At 60.0% G+C, this 24,590-nt stretch overlaps 1 protein-coding gene across 2 annotated transcripts in view, besides 4 other annotated features; it reads left to right on the plus strand.

Moving 5' to 3' along the window:
- Positions 4,881-24,590, plus strand: part of FLNC (filamin C) — a 28,867-nt gene continuing 9,157 nt past the window's right edge. Inside the window, exons 1-31 of one of the 2 annotated variants that reach the window (NM_001458.5) lie at positions 4,881-5,464; positions 9,801-10,049; positions 11,635-11,732; positions 11,873-12,023; positions 12,112-12,230; positions 12,462-12,539; positions 12,742-12,904; positions 13,078-13,278; positions 14,498-14,635; positions 15,023-15,149; positions 15,309-15,445; positions 15,645-15,838; positions 15,929-16,042; positions 16,706-16,849; positions 17,050-17,173; positions 17,269-17,429; positions 17,704-17,794; positions 17,883-18,052; positions 18,271-18,388; positions 18,479-18,741; positions 19,133-19,730; positions 20,465-20,638; positions 20,776-20,938; positions 21,220-21,380; positions 22,172-22,339; positions 22,420-22,543; positions 23,036-23,192; positions 23,268-23,457; positions 23,656-23,679; positions 23,806-24,053; positions 24,451-24,549. In NM_001458.5, the coding sequence (NP_001449.3) occupies positions 5,113-5,464; positions 9,801-10,049; positions 11,635-11,732; positions 11,873-12,023; positions 12,112-12,230; positions 12,462-12,539; positions 12,742-12,904; positions 13,078-13,278; positions 14,498-14,635; positions 15,023-15,149; positions 15,309-15,445; positions 15,645-15,838; positions 15,929-16,042; positions 16,706-16,849; positions 17,050-17,173; positions 17,269-17,429; positions 17,704-17,794; positions 17,883-18,052; positions 18,271-18,388; positions 18,479-18,741; positions 19,133-19,730; positions 20,465-20,638; positions 20,776-20,938; positions 21,220-21,380; positions 22,172-22,339; positions 22,420-22,543; positions 23,036-23,192; positions 23,268-23,457; positions 23,656-23,679; positions 23,806-24,053; positions 24,451-24,549 (5,298 nt within the window). In that variant the 5' untranslated portion in view covers positions 4,881-5,112. The remainder of the gene's footprint in view (positions 5,465-9,800; positions 10,050-11,634; positions 11,733-11,872; positions 12,024-12,111; positions 12,231-12,461; positions 12,540-12,741; positions 12,905-13,077; positions 13,279-14,497; positions 14,636-15,022; positions 15,150-15,308; positions 15,446-15,644; positions 15,839-15,928; positions 16,043-16,705; positions 16,850-17,049; positions 17,174-17,268; positions 17,430-17,703; positions 17,795-17,882; positions 18,053-18,270; positions 18,389-18,478; positions 18,742-19,132; positions 19,731-20,464; positions 20,639-20,775; positions 20,939-21,219; positions 21,381-22,171; positions 22,340-22,419; positions 22,544-23,035; positions 23,193-23,267; positions 23,458-23,655; positions 23,680-23,805; positions 24,054-24,450; positions 24,550-24,590) is intronic. The other variant, NM_001127487.2, reaches the window with a different exon arrangement.
- Positions 4,937-5,098: a silencer, noted in NCBI's record as "fragment chr7:128470516-128470677 (GRCh37/hg19 assembly coordinates)". NCBI's record gives its function as "represses an EF-1alpha promoter that drives an FKBP-Casp9 reporter gene in an ReSE screen in both phorbol 12-myristate 13-acetate-treated (for megakaryocytic differentiation) and untreated K562 erythroleukemia cells {active_cell/tissue: K562 | K562(+PMA)}" and the evidence as "EXISTENCE:reporter gene assay evidence [ECO:0000049][PMID:32094911]".
- Positions 7,947-8,590: an enhancer, noted in NCBI's record as "H3K4me1 hESC enhancer chr7:128473526-128474169 (GRCh37/hg19 assembly coordinates)". NCBI's record gives its function as "activates a minimal SCP1, AML or CMV promoter by ChIP-STARR-seq in primed H9 embryonic stem cells {active_cell/tissue: H9 hESC(primed)}" and the evidence as "EXISTENCE:reporter gene assay evidence [ECO:0000049][PMID:30033119]".
- Positions 16,688-16,737: a silencer, noted in NCBI's record as "silent region_18616". NCBI's record gives its function as "represses an Ori minimal core promoter by ATAC-STARR-seq in GM12878 lymphoblastoid cells {active_cell/tissue: GM12878}" and the evidence as "EXISTENCE:reporter gene assay evidence [ECO:0000049][PMID:35858748]".
- Positions 16,914-17,418: an enhancer, noted in NCBI's record as "H3K27ac-H3K4me1 hESC enhancer chr7:128482493-128482997 (GRCh37/hg19 assembly coordinates)". NCBI's record gives its function as "activates a minimal SCP1, AML or CMV promoter by ChIP-STARR-seq in naive H9 embryonic stem cells {active_cell/tissue: H9 hESC(naive)}" and the evidence as "EXISTENCE:reporter gene assay evidence [ECO:0000049][PMID:30033119]".

Genomic DNA, 24,590 nt, shown 5'->3' on the forward strand with positions numbered 1-24,590 from the left:
TTCCAGAGTAGCTGGGACTACAGGTGCTCACCACCGCGCACAGCTAATTTTTGTATTTTTTGCAGAAATGGGGTTTTGCCATGTTGCCCAGGCTGCTCCAAACTCCTGAGCTCAAGTGAATCGCCCGCCTCGGCCTCCCAAAGTGCTGGGATTACAGGTGTGAGCCACTGCACCCGGCCCTCCGTTCATTTTAGAATCCCATTCTCTTCATTTGGTTTGGACTGTCTCCTTGTCTTAATGATACACTGTTACCCAGGCGTATTAAAGAGGAATCTTTTTTTTTTTAAGAGGAATCTTTTTTGTTGAATGTGAAACATTCACTTGAGCTAGCTTAAAAAAAAGGCAGTAGGATATTCTCATTTATAAGTGGAGTTAAAGCCGGGCGCAGTGGTTCACGCCTGTAATCCCAGCACTTTGAGAGGCCAAGGTGGGTGGATCACAAGGTCAGGAGTTCAAGACAAGCCTGGTCAACATGAGGAAACCCCGTCTCTACTAAAAATACAAAAATTAGCTGGGCGTGGTGGCAGGTGCCTGTAATCCTAGCTACTCGGGAGGCTGAGGCAGGAGAATCGCTTGAACCTAGGAGGTGGAGGTTGCAGTGAGCCAAGATTGTGCCACTGCACTCCAGCCTGGGTGACAGAGCAAGACTCCGTCTTTAAAAAAAAAATGTGGAGTTAAAGAATGTGTATAATGTGCACACAGGGACATAGAATGTGAACTGATGGACATTGGAGACTTTGGAGCGGCGAGGGGTAGGGGGGCGGTCGGGGCATGGGGCGAGGGGAGGGATGAGAAATTACTTAATGGGTACAATGTACATTATTTGGGTGATGTTACACTAGAAGCCCAGACTTCACACTAAGCAATATATCCATGTATCAAAACTGCACTTGCACCCTCTAAATTTATACCAAAAAAAAAAAAGACAGGAGGGATTGATCTTAAGTCTGGAGGGGTATGCCTTGGAAGCCACAGGCAGGCGTGCACTTGGGCCTAGGTGTGCTAGAACCAGGGACTCAAAGCACCTTCAGGAGCCTCCATCTCTCCCCGCTGCTGCCCTCTGCATAACTGCCTCCTTTCTGTGAGCTCCCTGCAGCCTAGCCCTGTCTGGTTTCCCTTCCCAGGCCAAGAGGTAGAGCAGCCACCCGCTGCCACTCCTGTCAAGGACCAGCTGCTTTTGGGGCAGGGTGGGTGGTTCTAAAGATGACAGGTACTGCCGGTTCTGATTGTGGCAGAGGGAATGTTGGGTTGCAGGGAAGGGGAGAGGGGAACAGCCTGGAGATCCAGGCAGTGGTCCCCACGGAGGTGTGGACACAGAGCTGCAGGGGAAGGCCTCTCTCACCAGAACCCCTTAGTCTCCAAGATAATCAGAGGAAGCAAACTAATTGTTTTGGATCACCTATTAGATGCCAGGCACCATGCTAATCATCTTTCTTGTGATTTCCTTCCATTTTCACACATTAAAAAAAAAAAAAGACGAGAAAACAGGCCCAAAAGAGCTACATTACTTGCCCAAGGTTGCAGAGCTAGAAGTAGAGAGGCTGGAATTCAGCCCATGGATCATTCCACTCTACCACACTGTCCCTGGAACCTGGGTCAGAGCCACAGTCAGTATCAGTATCACTGAAAGTGCCTGTTATGACCTGGCCAGCCCAGTATCATCACAGGTGACTGTGGAAATGTCCCTGGTTCCAGAAAAACAGGATTTTCAAACATGGCTCATTGTATCCGCTCACTTGGATTCAGCTCAGCCCAAGATAAATATGGCCAGTATTGGTGGCTGATGAGCAGAGCCCCTTGACGGCAGAGGCAGGACCAGGTGAAGAGCCAGGCAACCTGGTCTCCTGAGATAGGTCAGCAGGTGGTGAGTCAGGGGGCTATAAACAGCCTGTGGCCCCAGCCAGCACTGCCCAGATACTCAGCTGATGAAACCCCTTGTAACCCCCTGTGTGCCCCTGCCTGGCTTGGGGAGGAGCATGTCAGCGCTCCTCGGGGAGGGGGCCCTACTTGGCAGGCCGGGCCCAGCATTGTGCACGGTCTGTTCCAGCCTGGCTGGCCAGGCCCAGGGCCTGGGCTCATGGGCTATATTGAGGGCTGAGTCACCAGCCCGCGCCTGGGTCAGGCTGAGTGTCACTGGCTGCTGGGGCCTGAGTCAGGCCCCGATTTATCCTGGAGAGCAACAGGCTCAGGTTTCTGAGGACGGTTGCGGGGGGTGACGGGAATCATCCTTTGGCACTCTGTACCCTCCTCTCCTCTGCCAACCATTCACTTGATCCCCTGGGACCCGCACACTGACCTCCCCTGGAGCGAGCTCTTGAGTCAGAGGGAAAGCAAGGGAAGCTACGCTGGGAGTTCCTTCTCCCCTCCCTGGCTTCCTCCGGCCTCTCCACCTGAACAGAGGCGCTCAGCTGGCTGGGGGACCTCAGATAATGCCTGCAAAACAGGACTGTGGACCATTAGGGTCTGTAAAGGGGCTGTCAGCTCCGAGCTACCTCACCTTAACCCTTTCTCCTCCCCAGCAGCTCAAAGAGGAATGCATCCTTTCTCAGATCTGTGTCTCAGTTTACTCACCAGGGATTCAGAGGCAGCACTGCTGAACCCTGAGCCCTTGGCACATCAGGTTGGCTGTCAGAAGTCGGCCTTTGTACATACACAGTTCCCTTGTGAGGCCCAGCTGCGTGTCCTAGGAGCGGGGCCTCTCTCCACAGCAGAGCTCAGCCTCTCAAGTGTATGGACAGCACGGGTGCCTGATGGGTGGATTTAGCCATGAGTTGAAGGTGGCTTGGGGAGAATGAGAGTTCTAGAGATAGGGAGAAGGGGTTGCCAATAGGAGAGTGGAATTCCTGAGCACCTCGTCACAGGCAGCCGACAGAACATGAGCCGCAGGGCCCAGGCTATTTATACCTCGCCTGTCACTATCAGGGTCCCCACAGCTCCCCCCACCTCCAGCCACACACAGCAGGTCCTTTTGCTCTTTCTGGTCCCTTCTCTACTCCTCCCCCTCCCTACCTAAGGACCAGGCAATTTCATTCATAGACCCCTGTCATCATAAGCATTGCCCCCACAGAACCCTGACACTTTTTCCTCAGCTCCGTAACAGGGGGTGCCCTCATTGGCCCTTGGGGGAAAGAGCCCCCAAAGATGCTCACTATCCCTTCTTTTACACCAGGTCTAGGGGTAGAAGAGGAATTAGATATAATGATTCATCTAAAAGGGCCCAGAACCTTCCCTGGCTTAAAGAAACTTCTCAGGCTCAGATATGGCCTCCTAGCCAGCTCAGCTAGACTTACTAGGTCTAGAAGGATGGGAAAGCTGAAGACACATGGCTTGAAAAAGGGGGAACTGGGAGATATGGCTGCACGTATGTTACAAAGTTGCAGAATGGATCCTCTCCTTATAGAAATACATTCTCTAGGCCCAGCACGGTGGCTCACGCCTGTAATCCCAGCACTTTGGGAGGCTGAGGCGTGCAGATCACCTGAGGTCGGGAGTTCGAGACCAGCCTGACCAACATGGAGAAACCCCGTTTCTACTAAAAATACAAAATTAGCTGGGCGTGGTGGTGCATGCCTGTAATCCCAGCTATTTGGGAGGCTAAGGCAGGAGAATTGCTTGAACCTGGGAGACAGAGGTTGCGGTGAGCAGAGATCATGCCATTGCACTCCAGCCTGGGTAACAAGAGCAAAACTCCATCTCAAAAAAAAAAAAAAAAAAAAAAGAAAAAAGAAAAAGAAATACGTTCTCTAGCTCTTTCTCCTCACCCCAGGCCAGAGTCTGTTTGGGTGCCTCGGTTTCCCTGCTGTTCTATTCCCCAGGCCTGCAGCCTTTGGCTTGCCCTGAGTGCAGCTTTGCCTGGGCATCCCAGCTGGCTCCCTTAGGCTCTCCCTGACCACTCTGCCCCTGGTCCTGCCTACCCACCTGGTCACATTTCCCCCTGGCTGCTCTGGCTGGGGCTCTCCCTGTTTCTGCCTGGCTGACCCACCCTTTCCCTGGCAGGATCTGCCCTGTGGCCCAAATGGGCATGTTGCCCAGGGGGCTCCCTGGCACTATGGGGGAAGAGTCTCTCCTTCCCCTCTTATCATCTCAGTTGAGTCAGACTTGGGGGAGGGGGATACACAGTGTGAGTCACTGGGTACCCTTTTCCTGAGCTCAGCTTCATACCGAGGCGATGAGGCCAAACGGGCTGGTGACAGGGACACTGAGTCAGGGGCAGGGGCCCCGGTCTTACTCCTGGGCCTCTGGATTTGGGCCCTACATGAGGCTTTTCTATCTGTAAAGTCAAGCAATGGCTGGGAGGCACACACAACCCCCCGCCCCCCCGCAGGCTTCTCCTTCATTGGCCCGGGCAAGGTCCCTGCTTCCTCTCAGGCCGTCTCTGCACAAGCACACACACTTCCCTTCCCTGTCCACAGGTGGACAATGCCCTGGGCTAGGAGCCAGCCCTCGCAGGCCCTGTCAACAGCCTGCCACCAACTAGTCTAGAAAATTCTGTGAACACCAGATCAGTGGGTTTTGCCCTAATCACTGGCCTCAGTTTCCCCATTTACCTCTTCAGCCCGTGCGGGGTGTGGAGGGAGCATATTTCATTCCTGACAGTTTGGTGTGTTGGGTGTGGATGGAGAACTGTCGGCCCTCCCCGCCACCTTCCAGCGCGGCGGCACCGGGGGCCCAGGGGGTGGGCGCCCTCAACCCCGTCCCGCCGCCCGGGCGGCGCGGGGGAGGGGCGGCGGGGGCGGGGCGTCCTGTGCGGCGCGGCCCCCACCCGCGGGCCGGGCGGCATTCCTGGGAGGCCGGCGCTCTGACGTGGACCCGGGGGCCGCGGGCGCGGCGGGGGGGCGGCGGTCCGGGGGCTTCTTAAACCCCCCGCCCCGGCCCAGCCCGCCCTTCCCGAGCACCGCTCCGGCCCTGGAGGGAGAGAGAGCCAGAGAGCGGCCGAGCGCCTAGGAGGCCCGCCGAGCCTCGCCGAGCCCCGCCAGCCCCGGCGCGAGAGAAGTTGGAGAGGAGAGCAGCGCAGCGCAGCGAGTCCCGTGGTCGCGCCCCAACAGCGCCCGACAGCCCCCGATAGCCCAAACCGCGGCCCTAGCCCCGGCCGCACCCCCAGCCCGCGCCAGCATGATGAACAACAGCGGCTACTCAGACGCCGGCCTCGGCCTGGGCGATGAGACAGACGAGATGCCGTCCACGGAGAAGGACCTGGCGGAGGACGCGCCGTGGAAGAAGATCCAGCAGAACACATTCACGCGCTGGTGCAATGAGCACCTCAAGTGCGTGGGCAAGCGCCTGACCGACCTGCAGCGCGACCTCAGCGACGGGCTCCGGCTCATCGCGCTGCTCGAGGTGCTCAGCCAGAAGCGCATGTACCGCAAGTTCCATCCGCGCCCCAACTTCCGCCAAATGAAGCTGGAGAACGTGTCCGTGGCCCTCGAGTTCCTCGAGCGCGAGCACATCAAGCTCGTGTCCATAGGTCAGTGCCGGGGGCGAGGGCACGGGCGCTGCGGGGATAGGGTCGTCCCATGGGGCAGGGGCACAGGTGCGGGGTGGGCGCGCGGGGAGCTGAGAGACAGGGCGGAGGGCACCCCCCGGTATAGAGAGAAGACCCTGGCCCCGGCCCTCCCACCCATCGACAAGGGCCATGGGCACTGCCTGCACACCCCTCTGGGGACAGCGAGCACTCCCTGGGTGCCCCGGGGAGTCCAGGCCTTAGGGTTTGCGAGCCCTCCAGCTGCCGCCTCCCCATGCACATTCCCACCTCCCGCCTCGGCTCACCGTTCCCTTTCCTTCCATCGGGCAACCCTAGCCCACACTCGGGAGGACAGAACCAGTGCCTGTCACTGATTCCTGGGGGCATCTCCCCGCCCCCAACAAAACAAGTGGCTTCCCAGCTTCACAGCCCCTCCGCGGGCTGGGAGAGGGCTGAAGACAGGTCCCCAACCACTGCCCGCGTCTGCGGGCTCTGGGGCCGAGGGGAGCTGGCGCGGGAGGCCCTCTTCGTGCATGTGCTCAGCAGCTGGGTTCAGGCCCGGGGGCCAGGACAGGCAGGGCCCAGCCTCAGAAACCTAAAAAGGCACTGAGCGAGCGCGGGGAGACTTAACCCCTGTCTGTCCTCCTCCTGCTTCAGCCTGCGGTGGAGGGGGCTTCCGCAAGTCCAGGCCCTGCCCCAGCCCACCCCCTACCGCGGGATTGGCTGCAGCTAACGGTCTGGGCTGCGGGGAGGGAGGGAAAGGCCTGTGGAAGGGAGGAAGTCTTTGAGTGTAACCAGATTTGGAAGGTGTGTAGTGCAGGGTGGGGGCGGGGAGGCACTCTAGTCTTGGGAGCAGAGACGCCAAGGGTGGGCTTGGAGTGGCAGGAGGCTGTCCTGCCCTCAGAGTCCTGCAGTCATCCCTGAGGCTGGGGGCCTGGGGAAGATCCCCCCGCCCACCCCTGTGGAGAGCTCTTAAGAACCCTGCTGGGATTTGCAGGACGAGGTCCTTGGACGGTGCACCCCACGGCCCCAGGAGGGGAGTTTCATGTGGGGCCAGGTGGGCCCCACACAGGATGTTCCCTGAGATTTCTCCAGATGACTTGATGTCTGTCAGCCCCACTCTCCCTTGGGGCCATCTCTAGGCCTCCTGATATAGCAGCTGAGGTCAGCCCAGGGCCCTTTGCCCCGTCCAGTCCCCTCCCTAGCCCTTACCCCCTCCTGCCCCAATACTGCCCCCCCACCCCACCCGCCTGCCCTGTCCTGGAAATAGCCCTGCCTCCGTGACACAGCAGATGTCTCTGAGCTTTCCAGAAGGACAAGGCTGAGGGCAGGGGGTGGGGGAGGGAGCCTGGAGTGTGTAGTGAGACTGAGGGCTACGTGATGGAGGCTGAGGGGTCAGAGAGGAGTCAGTCCTGGGCCGGCATCCTCAGCAGGCTGGGTTTTGAAAGGCAGGACTGACTGTACCAGGTGGGGTCTGGGGGAAGAGCCGGAGGCTTCGGCAAGACATATAGGAAACCGCTCAGCCTTCCCCTCCCCTCCAGTCTGCGGGGGCTCTCGGCCCCTCTCCAGGCCTCGTCCTTCCTGAGCACACCTCTCCCCTCCCCCGTGGCGGTGCCTGGCTCCAGCCCCCTTGGCTCAGCAGAGGAGGGGCTGGCTCAGAGCAGAGGGGAAGAAGCAAAAGCTGGTTTGAGGGTGGGAGGGAAGCTCCCTGGTTCCCGCTGGGAGGAAGGGGAGGCAGTCCCCATTTGGGCCAAGTGGCTCACTGGCGCTGATGAGATAAGCTGTCAGCAATTCAGCTGCCGGCCCCAGGCTGAGGCTGGAGGGGAGGGGACACCGGCAGCGACCAGCTGGGGCGCCCCACCATGAGGAGGTTCAAAGGGGCTGCCCACGAGGCAGGGGCATCCTGCTTCTGCTAGCTCCCCTACTCCATTTAGTGGTGGAAAGGGGCTATCCATGGGGCCACCTTCTGAGTATTGTCTCAGCACCGAAATCGAGCATCTGGGCACCTCAGGGGGTGTCAGAAAGACTCCCCACTTCTCTTTCCAGGAGGGAAGTCAGGGTCTGGAGTAGCAGCTGGGATCCAAGCCCACCTGAAGAAGGGGCACTGAGCCCAGGTTAAAGGAGCTGTGCCCTTCATATCCTCACCACCTTGTCCTGGCCCCCCGTTGCCCCTCGTTCCCTCCGAACAAAGAGGCCTATGAGGCAGCTCTGTCTCGCAGCTGTTCCCCAGTTGCTATTCCTTCTCCTGGAGCCAACAACCAAGGGAGGGGCGGGAGGGGGCAGCAGCTGTCCCAGCACCTCCCTAGGCCCAGCCCTCTCCTCCCCCTCCATTTGAGGCCTGGGGTGGCCTCGGGAACTAGCTGTCTGGCTCCTCCCACTCCTTTGGGGGTATCCCTAGGCAGATGGAGAAGTGGCTTGGTGAGCCCTGGTGGCGCTGAGCTCCTCTCCTCTGCCTGGCCTCCGAGAGGGAGGAGGGAGAGGGAGGTCATTGCTTCCAGAGTGGGACTTGGGGCCCCACTGCCCTTCTCCTGCCCCAAGCCTGGACCACTTGCTGTCTGGCCCAGGGCCAGTTGCTGGGGAGAAACTTCCCTCTCCAGCAAATATGAATGACCACCCTCCCCATATACACACCGCCCCCCCCAACCCCTGCAGCCTCAAGGCTTCCTGCCCAGGGGTCTGGCTCCAGTTTGCAAGAAGTACTTCTGGGCGTGTGAGCTTTGGAGGCTGTCGGGGTTGTGAGAGGCTGGGGGCACTGGGGCATCCAGACTGTGTGAAAGTGTTGGAGCCTGTGTGTTTGAGAGAAAGCACCGGGAGGCAGGGAGTGAGTGTGTCATGGAATCTGAAAGCTGCCAAACCATTGTGCTGCAGTGGAGCCAGGGGAAGGGGGTGGGCTGGGGAGCTGCTGGGGAAGGAAGGATGAATCAGTGACAGGGTGGGGGAGCCCAGGCGGCCAGAGCCCCAGCCAGAGGGACAGGGAGACTGAGGCACCCCTCCCGGGGCAGGTGGGAGTGGGGCAGGGGATGCCCTGGATTTCCCAGGCTCTCGGTCTCCTAACACTTTCCCCAAGACCTGGGGAAGGGTGGAGGGGAGAAGATGTGTAAGGGGAAGGCTCCACTCCACCCTCTCCCATCTCTCGGGCAACATCAGTAAACAAGACTGTCTTCCACCCCCTTCCAGCCTCCTGAAAGCAGTGCTTTGGGAAGCTGATAGATTTCAGAACTTCATTGCCCTTTACAAGTAAGCTGAATTCCAAAGATCTATCTACATGCTAGGCCACCCCAGGCTTCTGGATATTTCTTTCTGATTGTTAAGGGGGATCTAGGCGCCCCCCCCCCCCAAATCTTGAGGAACCAGTTCTGGCTCAAAGGATTCCTCAAAGGAGGTGATGGGTGGAGTGTGTCAGCTCCTGAGGCTGGAGTCCCTCTGGCCCCCAGCCTTTGACAACATGACTTTCAAGACTTAACTGAGAATGTACTGGACCCCACCCACCCACCCCTGCCCCACTATCAGAACCCCTTGGTTTCTAAAGCCCTTTCTGGCATTCGGGGTAGAGTGTGAGTGGAAACTTGTCCTACCCCACTCCAATTTCAGTTCTTAAAATATTCATTCAACCAATATTTATTGAGACCTTACTATGTTTAAGACCTTCATTGTAGAAAGATAAAACCTAGTGTCTAGAGTGAAAAAAACCAGACCAAAAAAAAAGAGAGTATATACTGTGTGATTCCATTTATATAACACTCTAGGAAATACAAAGTAATCTATCGTGACAGAGAGCAGATCAGTTGTTGCTTGGGATGGAGGGACAAGGACGGCAGGAGGGAGGGCTCACAAAGGGGTGTGTGCAAGGAAACTTTGGGGAGTGATGGATGGTACCTTCGTTATTCTCCATCTGTGGTGACGGCTTCGTGATATATCCATAGTGTCAAAGCTTCTCAAACTTCATTCTCTAGCATGTGCAGTTTGCTGTATGTCAATCATAGCTCAGTAGAACTGTTAACAAAACAAAAAGGCTCTGCCCTGGGAGCCTTACAATCCCACAAGGCCAGAAAGAAACCAGGTAATTACATAGACAGGAGGCAGACTCACTTGCTGTAGCTGAGGTGAGGGTACCTTCCAGAACCACAGGAACACAGAGAAGCAGCCTTCTGACCGGAAGGGCCCCATAAAGAACTTGGCATCTGAGTGGGGCCTCGCAGGAGGGAGAGGGTCAGGTAGGCAGAGACTAGAGGCCTGACCCCAGAGCTCTGGCCCGAGGAGCTGCGCAGGTGAGGGAGGGTGCTCTGGGGCAGTGGAGGGTGGGGCGCCCCTGAGCCCGTCTGTGCCCTCCCCTCTGCAGACAGCAAGGCCATCGTGGATGGGAACCTGAAGCTGATCCTGGGCCTGATCTGGACGCTGATCCTGCACTACTCCATCTCCATGCCCATGTGGGAGGATGAAGATGATGAGGATGCCCGCAAACAGACGCCCAAGCAGCGGCTGCTTGGCTGGATCCAGAACAAGGTGCCCCAGCTGCCCATCACCAACTTCAACCGTGACTGGCAGGACGGCAAAGCTCTGGGCGCCCTGGTGGACAACTGCGCCCCCGGTGAGTGGGCCAGTGAGCACAGCATGGAGCCCTTAGCTCCCAAAGACAGAGGGGACAAGCTGGGGCTGCCAAGGCGTGTGGTTGTCAGAATGCACACCCTGGGGCCTGGGGGCCAGGATCCCCTGCAGGGTTTGTCCTCCTCCAGCTGTGGCTCTCCGCTGGCTGGTGGCAGGCCCTACCTGATGAGTGTGCCAGATTCCGCAGAGGCAGGAAGAGGTTTAAAACCCCTCATTTTACAGACAAGGACACTATGGCCCAGAGAGGGCTGGTGACTTATCCAAGATCACACAGCTTATCTGTGGCAGAACCACCTAGAGCCCAGGGCCTGGACTCCCTGCCCCATGAATTTTTTACTGTGCCACGAGGCACTATTCCTGCCGAGCTGAGAGAGAGGCAGTGTGGTGACCAGGACTTGTAGCAAGACCAGGAGTTAGATCCAGAGAAGGCTCTTCTCTGGGAGACCCTGGGATGACTTTGAGAAGGGGTTGAGGCTCAGGATGATGTGGGATGAGGCCAGTGGGGCACTGCCTGGTGGCAGGTGAGCCAGCCTTGCCCCTTCTCCGTGTAGGTCCTGGCCTGGTCAAGTGGGGACAGCTCAGGGGCCATGAAAAAAGCTGAGGCATCACTGGCTAGAGCGTACCCCATGGACAGCTCCCTTTCTGCCCCTCATCTCCTGAAAAGATAGGTTTTCTCCAGGAGTCACAGCCCCTCGGGAGAATCCTCCTCCACCCTGGGGTCAGCCGGGGAGCAGAGGGTGGGAGGCGGGGGCACAGCCTCCTGGGAAGCATTCCCAGCTGCTGAGCCATGGCCCATAACTGGTGTGGCTGCCAGCAGTGAGCTCAGCTGTTCCAGCCAGTCATGGATTCCAGCCTTGAGCCGGCCCCCTCCCCGAAACGGTGTGCCGTCCCCCTCCTCCAGCTCTGGCCTAAACCAAGCGCCCCTTCACCTGCACCGTTCATAGGAGTGATCTGGGGCTGCCTCAGCGTCCTTCCTGTTAGGAAGGCAGGGCTCCTGAGGGCTGCAGAGGAGAAGTCATTCTCTCCTCACAGGCCCTTTAATGCCTCAGTTTCCCCAAGTGAGCAGTTAGAAGGAATAGGGAGTCTCATACCCTAAGACTGGTGTGGAAAGCGTTTGGAGTTCTAGAGCTTCGGGGCAGCTGTGAGGAGGCCTTCTAGGGGGGATGGGTCAGGGGCATATGTGGGACAGGCACTCTGACCTCCTCTGCCCACCCCTGAGAAAGCTGAATGAGGCAAGAGATAGCGAGAGGGGGTACCCTCCCAGGGTTTGGGGTTCAAGGTCTGAGCTGGGGCCTGGGCAGGCAGGAGGCCGGCCAGCAGGGCTGGTGCCAGGCTGCGTCAGCCAGGGCAGAAAGGCTTCATTGTTGGTGGTGGAGAGGGCTGTCCTGCTCCTACGTGGTGAGGGGCCTCGAAGCTGATGGGGTCAGCAGGAACCTGGCTGGTCAAGGCCTAGAGCTGGTGGGAAGGGGTGTAAAGCCACAGCCTCTGAGGGTGTTGGGTGAACAAATGCCCTGCATCCTGGCCGGCTGGCTGCCCCTCACCATCGTCTCCCTCCATCACCTCTCCAGGTCTCTGCCCCGACTGGGAGGCCTGGGACCCCAACCAGCCCGTGGAGAACGCCCGGGAGGCCATGCAGCAGGCCGACGACTGGCTTGGGGTGCCCCAGGTACATGCGCAGATGGGGCAGGGGGGAAAGGGGGCAGGGGCAGAGGTTGGGTCTGTAAGTTTACCTGGCCAGGGTGCAGGGGGAGACTGGGGCTGCTGGGAAAAGAGGGCGCCATGTGACATCACTCCTTTCCATCGCAGGTCATTGCCCCTGAGGAGATTGTGGACCCCAACGTGGATGAGCATTCTGTTATGACCTACCTGTCCCAGTTCCCCAAGGCCAAGCTCAAACCTGGTGCCCCTGTTCGATCCAAGCAGCTGAACCCCAAGAAAGCCATCGCCTATGGGCCTGGTATGTGTGAGCCCCTGGCGGCCCTCCTGGGCAGCTGGGCACATGTAGGCTCTCCCTGAGTAACCTGGGCTCTGCTCCTGCCCCGTAGGCATCGAGCCACAGGGCAACACCGTGCTGCAGCCTGCCCACTTCACCGTGCAGACGGTGGACGCGGGCGTGGGCGAGGTGCTGGTCTACATCGAGGACCCTGAAGGCCACACCGAGGAGGTATGCAGAGGCCGCTGGGGACAGAGGGATTCACTTGGGATTGGAACCAGAGAGCGTGGGGCCAACAACAGGAATGGCCCGGAGGTGACTGCCAGAGCCACACACTGTGCTGTGCAGTCTGGGGAAGGTGTCACCATGGGGGCTGAGTGGGGCTGGGGTGCATAAGGCACTGTGGGGTCAGGAGGGGCTATGGTCATTGGAGAGGCTTCCAATCTTTTTCCTTCCTAATAGGCTAAGGTGGTTCCCAACAATGACAAGGATCGCACCTATGCTGTCTCCTATGTGCCCAAGGTCGCTGGGTTACACAAGGTATCTCCCTCTAGGCCCCCCTGCCTGCGCTGCTCTTCACATCCTTGGTTCCGGCTGCATGGACCCCTCTCTCAGCCTGTACCTCGCGCCTGCCCAGAGCCCCAGCTGCCCGCCTCTCACCCTCCTTGGCCTGGCTGTGCCCCTCTGCCCCCTCTCAGGACTGCTCTCCCCTAGAAGCTAACCTTTGACCTCTGACCCCTAGGTGACCGTGCTCTTTGCTGGCCAGAACATTGAACGCAGTCCCTTTGAGGTGAACGTGGGCATGGCCCTGGGAGATGCCAACAAGGTGTCAGCCCGTGGCCCTGGCCTGGAACCTGTGGGCAATGTGGCCAACAAACCCACCTACTTTGACATCTACACTGCGGGTAGGACGGGCCCCAGGGGGTGCAGGTGGAAAGCCCCTGACCATGTGGGGCTGTGTGGGGGTGGGGGGAGGCTGGGACAGGGATGCCAGCCAGAGGGTGGGCAGCCTCAGGGTGAGGGCACCGGGGCAGCTGTGTGTGTCCAGAGTGGTGCTGACAGCCTCTGTTTTCGGCAGGGGCCGGCACTGGCGATGTTGCTGTGGTGATCGTGGACCCACAGGGCCGGCGGGACACAGTGGAGGTGGCCCTGGAGGACAAGGGTGACAGCACGTTCCGCTGCACATACAGACCTGCCATGGAGGGGCCACATACCGTGCATGTGGCCTTTGCGGGTGCCCCCATCACCCGCAGTCCCTTCCCTGTCCATGTGTCGGAAGGTAAGGGCCCTTCACTGCTCCCCACGGTAGCCCTTACCAAAGCCAGAGGCTTGCAAGGGGCAGGAGGAAGAGCTGGGGCGGGGGTCTGCAGAGACCCCCTCCCTGAGTCCTCCATCCCACCCCCAAGGTGGCTGGAGTTCCTAAGAGCACAGCTGGGAGGCCACAGTGAAGGGTCCCAGAACATGTGCCACCCTGGGAGGGCTGAGCGGAAGTGACGGGGCTGTATGGGTGGGGGCATATCTAGGGAGTACTGCCTGCATGCCAAGCCCTCAGGTGGTGACTGCCCCACTTGTTCTCTCCCTGCACTCAGTGCCCATCGTCCACCAGGCCGAGAGTGATGCCACATTAATGCTCTCCAGTGGAGGCGGGGCCAGGCATGGCCGCAGCTGACTGGCCTCACCTGTGCTGTGTGGCATGGCCCGGGCCGTGTGGAATCGCCCCCCCTTCCTTGGCATTCTGTGGCAGGCCCCAGGTTCCATGCCGTTGTCTGTGTTCTGTGGCAGGTCTAGTGTCTTTGCCACTTGCCTGGTGATTTCTATGATGAAATCTGGGCTCTGAGCCATTGCCTGTGTTCCGTGGTACCCCTTGGGCAGTGCCATCGCCTATGGTCATGGTAGTCCTGGAATATGTGTCGTGTCCTGTTTCGTAGCACCTGTGGGTCCCATGCCATTTTTCTGGATTCTGTGGCAGGCTGAGATTCCCATTCCTTTGCCTGTGTTCCATAGCAAGGCCTGGGCTCATTGCCACTGGCCACGGTCTGTGGTAGGCTGATGTCCACACGTTGCCTGTGTTGTATGGCAGGCTTCGAGTTCTATGAAGTAGCCCTTGTTCTGTGGCATTGCTGGATGTTTTGTGGCATGACTTAGATCCTAAGGTTGCTTTGGTGCCCTGAGAGGCCCAGAGGGCTCTAGATGGATGGCCTTGGGCTGGGTAAAGGGGCCTTCCCTGTCTCTCTGAGCCCACTCTCAGCCCAGGCTCTGCCATGCATTTCCCCAGTGGCACTGGCTCGGAAACTTTCTTGTAACCTGCCTGATCTGGGGCCTGTAGCCAGCTCCAGCCCGGCAGCCCCGGTTGTGCTGGGGACACAAAGGGCTCCAGAGCAGGGCCGTGGGCCACTGCCTGTGCCTGGGAGGGGTTAGAAGGACTGTGCACAGGGAGGTGGGGGCTAGTGGTCCAAGGCCCCTCAGCACCCCCAACCTCCTTTCTCTTCCTCCCCTAGCCTGTAACCCCAACGCCTGCCGCGCCTCTGGGCGAGGCCTGCAGCCCAAGGGTGTTCGCGTGAAAGAGGTGGCTGACTTCAAGGTGTTTACCAAGGGTGCCGGCAGCGGGGAGCTCAAGGTCACGGTCAAGGGGCCAAGTGAGTGCCAGAGCCCAGGGTCGTGAGGGTGGGGCTGGGGGATCATAAGGGAAGTATGGCCAGTGGTTCTGACTCCCAGAGGGCAGTGACAGCCAGCACCACAGCTCCACAGTGACCAGAGGCACCCCAGAATCTCAGGCTCATTGTCTCCTCTCTGCCTCAGTTTCTTGGTCTACAAGCCAGGAATGATTCTCTCCACCCTAAGTGCTATACGGGGTGTTATGCACAGGGATGACAAGTGTTCCCTGCCCTGAGTTGCAGCACTGCTCACTACAGCACTGCCCTCGGGCTGGGTCGGGGTCCCAATGGCTCCTTGAGGGGATTGAGGAGCTGGGACTTCAAGGATATTGATCTGCCTTCTTCCCCACCCTGCCCCCATCTCCTCAGAGGGCACAGAGGAGCCAGTGAAGGTGCGGGAGGCTGGGGATGGTGTGTTCGAGTGCGAGTACTACCCGGTGGTGCCTGGGAAGTATGTGGTGACCATCACGTGGGGCGGCTACGCCATCCCTCGCAGGTGAGTACCTTGCGCCCCCCATGCTGTCCTGTCTAGGCCATCACAGGGAGGGACGAGGGGCACTGGGCTGCGAGGGAGTTTGAGGGGAGATGGAGTTTGGGCTGCGAGGGACTTTGGGGGGCACTTCCTGGCATGGACACCAGCTCCCTCTCTGCCCAGCCCCTTTGAGGTACAGGTGAGCCCAGAGGCAGGAGTGCAAAAGGTCCGGGCCTGGGGTCCTGGTTTGGAGACTGGCCAGGTGGGCAAGTCAGCCGATTTTGTGGTGGAAGCCATTGGCACCGAGGTGGGGACACTGGGTAAGTGGCTGGGGGGCAGGAGGAGGGAGTGCTGCGGGGGAGGGCAGCAGGGGACACTGTGGGTAATGGGTGCAGTGCGCATGCTGGGGAGCGCTGGGGTGAGCAGGGAGATAGGACATGAGGGCAGCTAGAGGGGAGCTGGGGGACGGAAGGGTCTTGCCTGATGCTGGATCCCCGACCCTCCCCCACCTTGCCCCAGGCTTCTCCATCGAGGGGCCCTCACAAGCCAAGATCGAATGTGACGACAAGGGGGATGGCTCCTGCGATGTGCGGTACTGGCCCACGGAGCCTGGGGAGTACGCTGTGCACGTCATCTGTGACGATGAGGACATCCGAGACTCACCCTTCATTGCCCACATCCTGCCCGCCCCACCTGACTGCTTCCCAGATAAGGTGTGGTCCCAGCTCACACACACCTGCCCCGGGGGTGGGGCAAGCTGGTTCTCCTCCCCTCCCCAACTCAGCCTTCTTCCCTCCGCACAGGTGAAGGCCTTTGGGCCTGGCCTGGAGCCTACCGGCTGCATCGTGGACAAGCCCGCTGAGTTCACCATTGATGCTCGTGCAGCTGGCAAGGGAGACCTGAAGCTCTATGCCCAGGTAGGTCATTGTCCAGTCTCTGCTGCCCTTACTACCCATGGCAGGGACCCTGGAAGGCAGGGCCAGGCCAGAGGCAGAGGCCTCCCAGCAGGAAATGACAGCATCACAGAAGATCAGGCAGGACTGATACTCATGGGCCCATCAGTACCATGGAAAATTTTAAATTTTGTGTTTTCTTAACGATGATAACCTAAAAACGTATTTTACCAAAGAGTCATTTTTGTGCTAATTTGTAATTGAAAGATTGTTTCATTGAATAAGACACTGGTTTCCCAAGTCAGTTTCTCAGACTGGTGTCCATTGACCCCTAGAGGTTAATGAACATATTCTTGAGGATCTAAGAGGGTGATTCTTCTTTGAAAGGCTCATGATTCAGTTTTAGGAACATAAATTTAGCCCACACTCTTCCTGTCCAACACATTTCAGAGTTGAGGAAACCTAGGCTGGGAGAGCAAGCCATACAGATGGCCTTGAGTCAGGCTCCCAGGGTGGGCTCTGGCCGCCAGAGCACGTGGCCCTGGGCTCTGGTGGCCTCAGTGGCTGGTGTGGGGGCGGGAGTGCCAGTGTTGGGGGTGGGAAAGGAGGCGCTGGGTTCACCTGCGGCCAGCAGAGGGCGCTCTGCAGAGGCCACAGCTATGAACTTTGCTTGGGTGATGCCCACAGGACGCCGACGGCTGTCCCATCGACATCAAGGTGATCCCCAACGGCGACGGCACCTTCCGCTGCTCCTACGTGCCCACCAAGCCCATTAAGCACACCATCATCATCTCCTGGGGAGGCGTAAACGTGCCCAAGAGCCCCTTCCGGGTGCGTCCTCCCGGCCTGCCCCGTGCCCACCACCAGGGGTCCCTGAGGGAGGGCGGAACCCTCGCTGGAGTCCCTGTTGTCCCTGGGCTCAGGCTGGGACTGAGGCTTGGGCTGGTGCCACTGAGGCTGGGCCGGGTGCGCTGGGCAGGAGGATGAGCCTTGAGGGAGGGCACCACGCTGAGCTGCGACCCCTCCCGCAGGTGAACGTGGGCGAGGGCAGCCACCCCGAGCGGGTAAAGGTGTACGGCCCCGGAGTGGAGAAGACAGGCCTCAAGGCCAATGAGCCCACCTACTTCACGGTGGACTGCAGCGAGGCGGGGCAAGGTGCGCCCAGCCGGAAGGGGTGGGTCTGGGAGGGGGCGGGGGTGAGTCGAGTCGGGGGCTGAGCCCAACTCACAGCAGTGCCCGCTTCTCTGCAGGCGACGTGAGCATCGGCATCAAGTGCGCCCCAGGCGTGGTGGGCCCTGCAGAGGCTGACATTGACTTCGACATCATCAAGAATGACAACGACACCTTCACCGTCAAGTACACGCCACCAGGGGCGGGCCGCTACACCATCATGGTGCTGTTTGCCAACCAGGTACCTAAGCTCCTGGGTACTCACAGCGACATGCACCTGCCAGCTCCAGAAGGCAGCTGGAGATGCTGTCACTGGGAACAGGGAGGGATGATTCCGCAGACATGGTGGAGCCCTACCTGTGTGAGGCAGGGTGCCTCAGAGGAAGCAAAGGGGGCCCTTTTGGAGGCTGCCCCTGTCCATGCTGGGTCCCCTGGGTGTGTCCTGAGCCAGCATCTAGCTGAGAGCAGGGGTGTGTTCCCCTCGAGAGCCCTGACTGAGCCTCCTCCACATCCAGGAGATCCCCGCCAGCCCCTTCCACATCAAGGTGGACCCATCCCACGATGCCAGCAAAGTCAAGGCCGAGGGCCCTGGGCTGAATCGCACAGGTGAGTGTCTGGGCAGGGGCTGGGACTGGCTCGAGGTTGGGGTTAGGTGGCTGCCAGGCCCTCACCACATCTCTGGGTGGGTCCTCAGGTGTGGAAGTCGGGAAGCCCACCCACTTCACGGTGCTGACCAAGGGAGCCGGCAAGGCCAAGCTGGATGTGCAGTTTGCAGGGACAGCCAAGGGCGAGGTTGTGCGGGACTTTGAGATCATAGACAACCATGACTACTCCTACACTGTCAAGTACACCGCTGTCCAGCAGGTGCGCTCTGCCCCTCCCATGCTACCGCCCGGCCGGCCCGCCAGAGCCCTGGGTCTCCCTCCTCCAGTCCCATGGGACCAGTTCTGGATCCTCCACGCCTTTCCTGCCTCCTGCCCTCACTCTCATGGTGGATCTGAGCTTCAGAGCCCATATTCACCACCAGGATGTTGTAGGACCTTGCCTTATATCCAGTTCTGACCTACCATTGTACCCAACAGGGCAACATGGCAGTGACAGTGACTTATGGCGGGGACCCTGTCCCCAAGAGCCCCTTTGTGGTGAATGTGGCACCCCCGCTGGACCTCAGCAAAATCAAAGTTCAGGGCCTTAATAGCAGTAAGTGGGGCAAGAGCCACCCTGGGAGTGAGGGGTATTCGGGTAGGGTGGACCGGAGTCTCCTCATGGTGTCACTTGCCCTCCACGCAGAGGTGGCTGTGGGACAGGAACAAGCATTCTCTGTGAACACACGAGGGGCTGGCGGTCAGGGCCAACTGGATGTGCGGATGACTTCGCCCTCTCGCCGGCCCATCCCCTGCAAGCTGGAGCCAGGCGGTGGAGCGGAAGCCCAGGCTGTGCGCTACATGCCCCCGGAGGAGGGGCCCTACAAGGTGGATATCACCTACGATGGTCACCCGGTGCCTGGCAGCCCGTTTGCTGTGGAGGGTGTCCTGCCCCCTGATCCCTCCAAGGTGAGGAGATAGGAGCTGGTTGGGGCTGGGAGTTGGGGACTTGTTGGGAAGATAGATGAGTCATAGGGGGCAGAGGCCAGAGGGACTTATGTGCCTGGAGTGGGCACAGCCAAGGGTGTGGGGCTGAGGCCAGCCCCACCCCACCACCTGCCTTGGAGACAACTTAGCTATTAAGAGCCTGGCCTTGGAGTCACACCTGGGCTTGAATCCCAGGTCCACTAACTGGGGCAAATTGCTTCATCTCGCTGCCTCAATGTCATCACCTGGGATTGTTATAAGCACTCAGTCCACAGTAGCAGCCACAGTTGGAGGTGATGAGTTGGGTGGGGGCCATGAAGGCTGGGATGAGGAGGCCAGGTGCAGGGAACCCACAACCTGCCTCTTCCCCTAGGTCTGTGCTTATGGCCCGGGTCTCAAGGGTGGACTGGTAGGCACCCCCGCGCCATTCTCCATCGACACCAAGGGGGCTGGCACAGGTGGCCTGGGGCTGACCGTAGAGGGCCCCTGCGAGGCCAAGATCGAGTGCCAGGACAATGGTGATGGCTCATGTGCTGTCAGCTACCTGCCCACGGAGCCTGGCGAGTACACCATCAACATCCTGTTTGCTGAGGCCCACATCCCTGGCTCGCCCTTCAAAGCCACCATTCGGCCTGTGTTTGACCCGAGCAAGGTGCGGGCCAGTGGACCGGGCCTGGAGCGCGGCAAGGTCGGTGAGGCAGCCACCTTCACTGTGGACTGCTCAGAGGCAGGCGAGGCGGAGCTGACCATTGAGATCCTGTCGGATGCCGGGGTCAAGGCCGAGGTGCTGATCCACAACAACGCGGATGGCACCTACCACATCACCTACAGCCCTGCCTTCCCTGGCACCTACACCATTACCATCAAGTATGGCGGGCATCCCGTGCCCAAATTCCCCACCCGTGTCCATGTGCAGCCTGCGGTCGATACCAGTGGCGTCAAGGTCTCAGGGCCTGGTGTTGAGCCACACGGTGAGTGGACAGGAGGAGCCAAGAAAGGTCAAGTGGCAGGTGCAGGAGCTGGGTAGTCCGTGGGAGGGAGGGAAGAAGAGCTGAGAGCTGGAAGAGCAACCTGGGGTGAAGGGAGGGCTCTCGGAGCAGCCCCAGAGTCCTTACTGGCCCAGAAACCCCAGAGAAGGAGTGGAGGGGAAGACCGGGGGTGGAGATTGGCCTCTGCTCTTGTGGCAAAACTGCACCTGCCTCTGGGCGTTTTTCTGGAGAGATCTCTTCTTTCATGTGCTTAAGGGGTACCCTGATCCAAAAAGCTAAAACTCTGCTCTGGACGGGGGCACGGGGAAAGCTTTGGGGTAGAGGATGACAAGAGTCAGAAGACAGTAAGTGGGAATGGGCCATCTGCCAGGGGCCAGACCCTGGCTAGGCATGGGCCACGGCAGAGGGATGCAAGACCCAGGCCCACAGCCTGGTGGGTGACTCAAGTGAACAGAGAATGTCACTACATGGAGAAGGGAGTGAAGGCAGAGGCTGGAGCTCACAGAGGTGCAGGGGAGGGTGTGGGGCCCAGGCTCCGATTAGAGGAGCAGCCTGGGAGTTGGGGAGTGGGAGAGGAGGGGGAGAGGAGGGTGAGAGGAGGGGAAGAGGAGGGGAAGAGGAGAGGGAGAGGAGAGGGAAAGGAGGGGGAGAGGAGAGGGAGCATCTGTGTGAAGGCTGCCCCCACCCCTGCTGAACACGCCACCCCTGGGCTCCAGGTGTCCTGCGGGAGGTGACCACTGAGTTCACTGTGGATGCAAGATCCCTAACAGCCACAGGCGGCAACCACGTGACGGCTCGTGTGCTCAACCCCTCGGGGGCCAAGACAGACACCTATGTGACAGACAATGGGGACGGCACCTACCGAGTGCAGTACACCGCCTACGAGGAGGGTGAGGGCCGGTGGGCCAGGCTAGTGGGCAGGGCTGGGCAAGTGGGCAGGGCCGGGATCTGATGATATTGCCCTCGGGGCAGGAGGGGTGGTGGGGGCGCACACTCCCTGATTGATGCCCCTGTGGCTGGCTTCCAGGCGTGCATCTGGTGGAGGTCCTGTATGATGAGGTCGCTGTGCCCAAGAGCCCCTTCCGAGTGGGCGTGACCGAGGGCTGTGATCCCACCCGCGTCCGAGCCTTCGGGCCAGGCCTGGAGGGTGGCTTGGTCAACAAGGCCAACCGATTCACTGTGGAGACCAGGTATCCTCCCCCTTTGCTAGCCTAAATCTGTGACCACCCTTTCCCAGCCCCTGGCCCTCCTCGCTCATCCCTCTGCCTGGGCCTCAGCCCCACCCCATCCTCTCTCAGGGGTGAGGCAGGAGCAGACCCCCTCCAGGACCCCAGATTGGCCCCTGTAGCTCGTTTCTCCTCAGCTGGGTCCCCAGCGGCCTGCCCTCTTTCCTCCCTGTCCCCCCATTCAGCTACTCCCTCATCCTCACTCACTGGTCTTATGAAGCTGATGGGGGGATGTTATCTCTCAGGGGAGCGGGCACCGGGGGCCTTGGCCTAGCCATCGAGGGTCCCTCGGAAGCCAAGATGTCCTGCAAGGACAACAAGGATGGTAGCTGCACCGTGGAGTACATCCCCTTCACTCCTGGAGACTATGACGTCAACATCACCTTCGGGGGGCGGCCCATCCCAGGTGTGCAGAGAGAGTGGTCGGGGTCTCAGGGAAGACAAGGGAGGGTGCAGGATGCTCGCCCCACAAGGGGGAAACTGGAAGGAAGTTGGGTAAGAATGTTCATAGAGAGGACAGCCTAGAGTGGGTTGGGGCCGGAGCCCGGCCAGAGGGAGGACGTGGAGGAGGCAGGCAATGAGGGTTGATGTGACAGCCCCCCTAGTCAATCACAGGAACACACTCTGGCCTCCTAGCCCCTTGTCTGGAGCTCAAGACCTTGGCTTTGCAGGTCCACCACTCACTGTGTGTCCAGAAACTCAGACACAGTCCACTCCTCTTGGCGGCTCAGGCCAGCCTTGGGCCTTCTTGCACGCATCGTCTGCAGAACTCCCCTGCCCTCTGCAGACCCAGCTGCCCGGGCAGGTCATGTCTTCAAATATTGTATGACTTGGGACTGCTGAAATTGGAAATTTTTTCCCTTATCTAATTTCCCATCTTTTTATTATTTCAGCCACAGTGTCAGAAATACATTTCATTTTTGAAAACATTTTATTTTCACATTTTATTAATTTAGGAAGGCCTTCTCTTCCAGGCCTGGGACCCACATGAGTGAGGTTTGCCCAGCCTCAGTCTGCAGTCAAGTTCATTTATTCTTGTGTGTGTTTTCTTAGCAAGTTCCTAGCCATTTTCCCATGTTGGTCTGGCTTCCCTGTGGGCATTTCAAAGGCAGGGAAGGCCTCCTCCTCCGAGGCTCCTCAGCATCAGGGGGACCCATCAGGGCTGGTGGGCAGGGTCTAATGTCCTTCTCCTCACAGGGAGCCCGTTCCGCGTGCCAGTGAAGGATGTGGTGGACCCTGGGAAGGTGAAGTGCTCAGGGCCAGGGCTGGGGGCTGGTGTCAGGGCCCGGGTTCCTCAGACCTTCACAGTGGATTGCAGTCAAGCTGGCCGGGCGCCCCTGCAGGTGGCTGTGCTGGGCCCCACAGGTATAGAATGGCCGGGGCAGGGAGGAGGGAGGTGGGGCGGGACGCCCGGAGGCTCTGCTGACCCTGTGCCCCTTGCCCAGGTGTGGCCGAGCCTGTGGAGGTGCGGGACAATGGAGATGGCACCCACACTGTCCACTACACCCCAGCCACTGACGGGCCCTACACGGTAGCCGTCAAGTATGCTGACCAGGAGGTGCCACGCAGGTGAGGACCAGCCCTGGGCTCCTGTGCTGCGGCTGAGCTCTGGGGTGCTCCTGCTGGGGTGGCACTCAGGATCACTGCTGGAGTCCCCTGGGAGAGCCTCTCCCAGCTCTCAGCCTCGTCCAGTCTCGCCACCCCATCCCGCTCTTCCCCGGGGCTCTCTGCTGTGAGGCTTTCCTGCCCCAGGAGCTTTTACGGCAAACCTAGCGCCTTAGGAAGAGTGCAGGAGGCCTGGGCCAGGGCCTCCTCCTGGACCCTCCCACAGCACCTTCCTGGGGAATGGAGACGTACCCTGGCTCTGTCGAGGGAGTCCCAGAGTGCCCCCACCCCCAGACATGGAATGTCATCGGCTTCTGGGAACTGGTCCCTCCTCCCTGCCCCACAGTCCTCCCTCCTGCCCATGTCTATGGGGAGGACTCTGGCTCAAGATGAGATCACCCCCCACCGCCCCGTCCATGCCACCCAGCCAACTGTTTATCCCTTCTGCTCCTCAAGCCCCTTCAAGATCAAGGTCCTCCCAGCTCATGATGCCAGCAAGGTGCGGGCCAGCGGCCCAGGCCTCAACGCCTCTGGCATCCCTGCCAGCCTGCCTGTGGAGTTCACCATCGACGCACGGGACGCGGGCGAGGGGTTGCTCACTGTCCAGATCTTGGTGAGTCTCTGTGCATCCCACCCCGCAGGTCATGCTCCAGGCACAGGCGGGCCTTGACCTCTGCTTCTCCCTCAGGACCCCGAGGGTAAGCCCAAGAAGGCCAACATCCGGGACAATGGGGATGGCACGTACACTGTGTCCTACCTGCCGGACATGAGTGGCCGGTACACCATCACCATCAAGTATGGCGGTGATGAGATCCCCTACTCGCCCTTCCGCATCCATGCTCTGCCCACTGGGGATGCCAGCAAGTGCCTCGTCACAGGTGGGTGCCCACCCGCTGCCCGTGCCCTGCTCACCACCCAGCCCCTCAAAGCCCCTCCAGAACCCTGGCCTGGTCCCCAGGGGTCTGCTGGTCGGAGAGCACACATGCCCTAGCCCTGGCCCCTCCCTCCCTCACCCCCGCCCAATGCCCCAGCCCACGTTGAGCACCGCCTGGCCTCACACTCTTCTCTCTTTCCAGTGTCCATTGGAGGCCATGGCCTGGGTGAGTGCCCTTTCTCTCCTCTTCTTGGTGTGGGCCAGGGTGGTTGGCGGTAGGGGGCGGGCAGCGGGAACAGAGAGGGCTGGCTCCAGCCCACCAGCTCCCTGAGCAGGATCTCCCGCATGGCAGGTGCCTGCCTGGGCCCTCGAATCCAGATTGGGCAGGAGACGGTGATCACGGTGGATGCCAAGGCAGCCGGTGAGGGGAAGGTGACATGCACGGTGTCCACGCCGGATGGGGCAGAGCTCGATGTGGATGTGGTTGAGAACCATGACGGTACCTTTGACATCTACTACACAGCGCCCGAGCCGGGCAAGTACGTCATCACCATCCGCTTCGGGGGTGAGCACATCCCCAACAGCCCCTTCCACGTGCTGGTAAGTTCTGTAGCCACAGCAAGACTAGATGGCTGGGGAGGGGGGCCTGGCCCTTTTAGCAGCAGCAGGGATCCCAGATAACTGTCCCCAAGGAATCCCACTTCTCTGAGGGCTCCTGGGGCCAGAGTGCTCCAGGATGGAGCCTTAACTTTCCCCACAGCACCCCCGAAGTGGGAGGAGAGCATGGCCCTGCCCCCTGCCCAGTGCTGTCAGCTGTCTCTGGAGGAACCCGCTGTGCTCTCCACCATCCCCAGCTCCATCTCCCCAGAGGCTGCCCTGCAGGAGGATGAACACCCAAATTATCACCCAGCATTTCAGGTTCCTGGGCCATTCTCTGAGTCAGCCCCTAGGCCTGTGAGGCTGCCACACCCTGTGCCCCCGTGCCTTGCCTCCCCAGGCGTGTGACCCCCTGCCGCACGAGGAGGAGCCCTCTGAAGTGCCACAGCTGCGCCAGCCCTACGCTCCTCCCCGGCCCGGCGCCCGCCCCACACACTGGGTACTGCGCCTCCCACCAGGCGATGTCCTCCTCCTCCTCCC

This window comes from Homo sapiens, chromosome 7 (assembly GCF_000001405.40).
Source record: "Homo sapiens chromosome 7, GRCh38.p14 Primary Assembly".
In the NCBI taxonomy this organism is placed as follows: domain Eukaryota; kingdom Metazoa; phylum Chordata; class Mammalia; order Primates; family Hominidae; genus Homo; species Homo sapiens.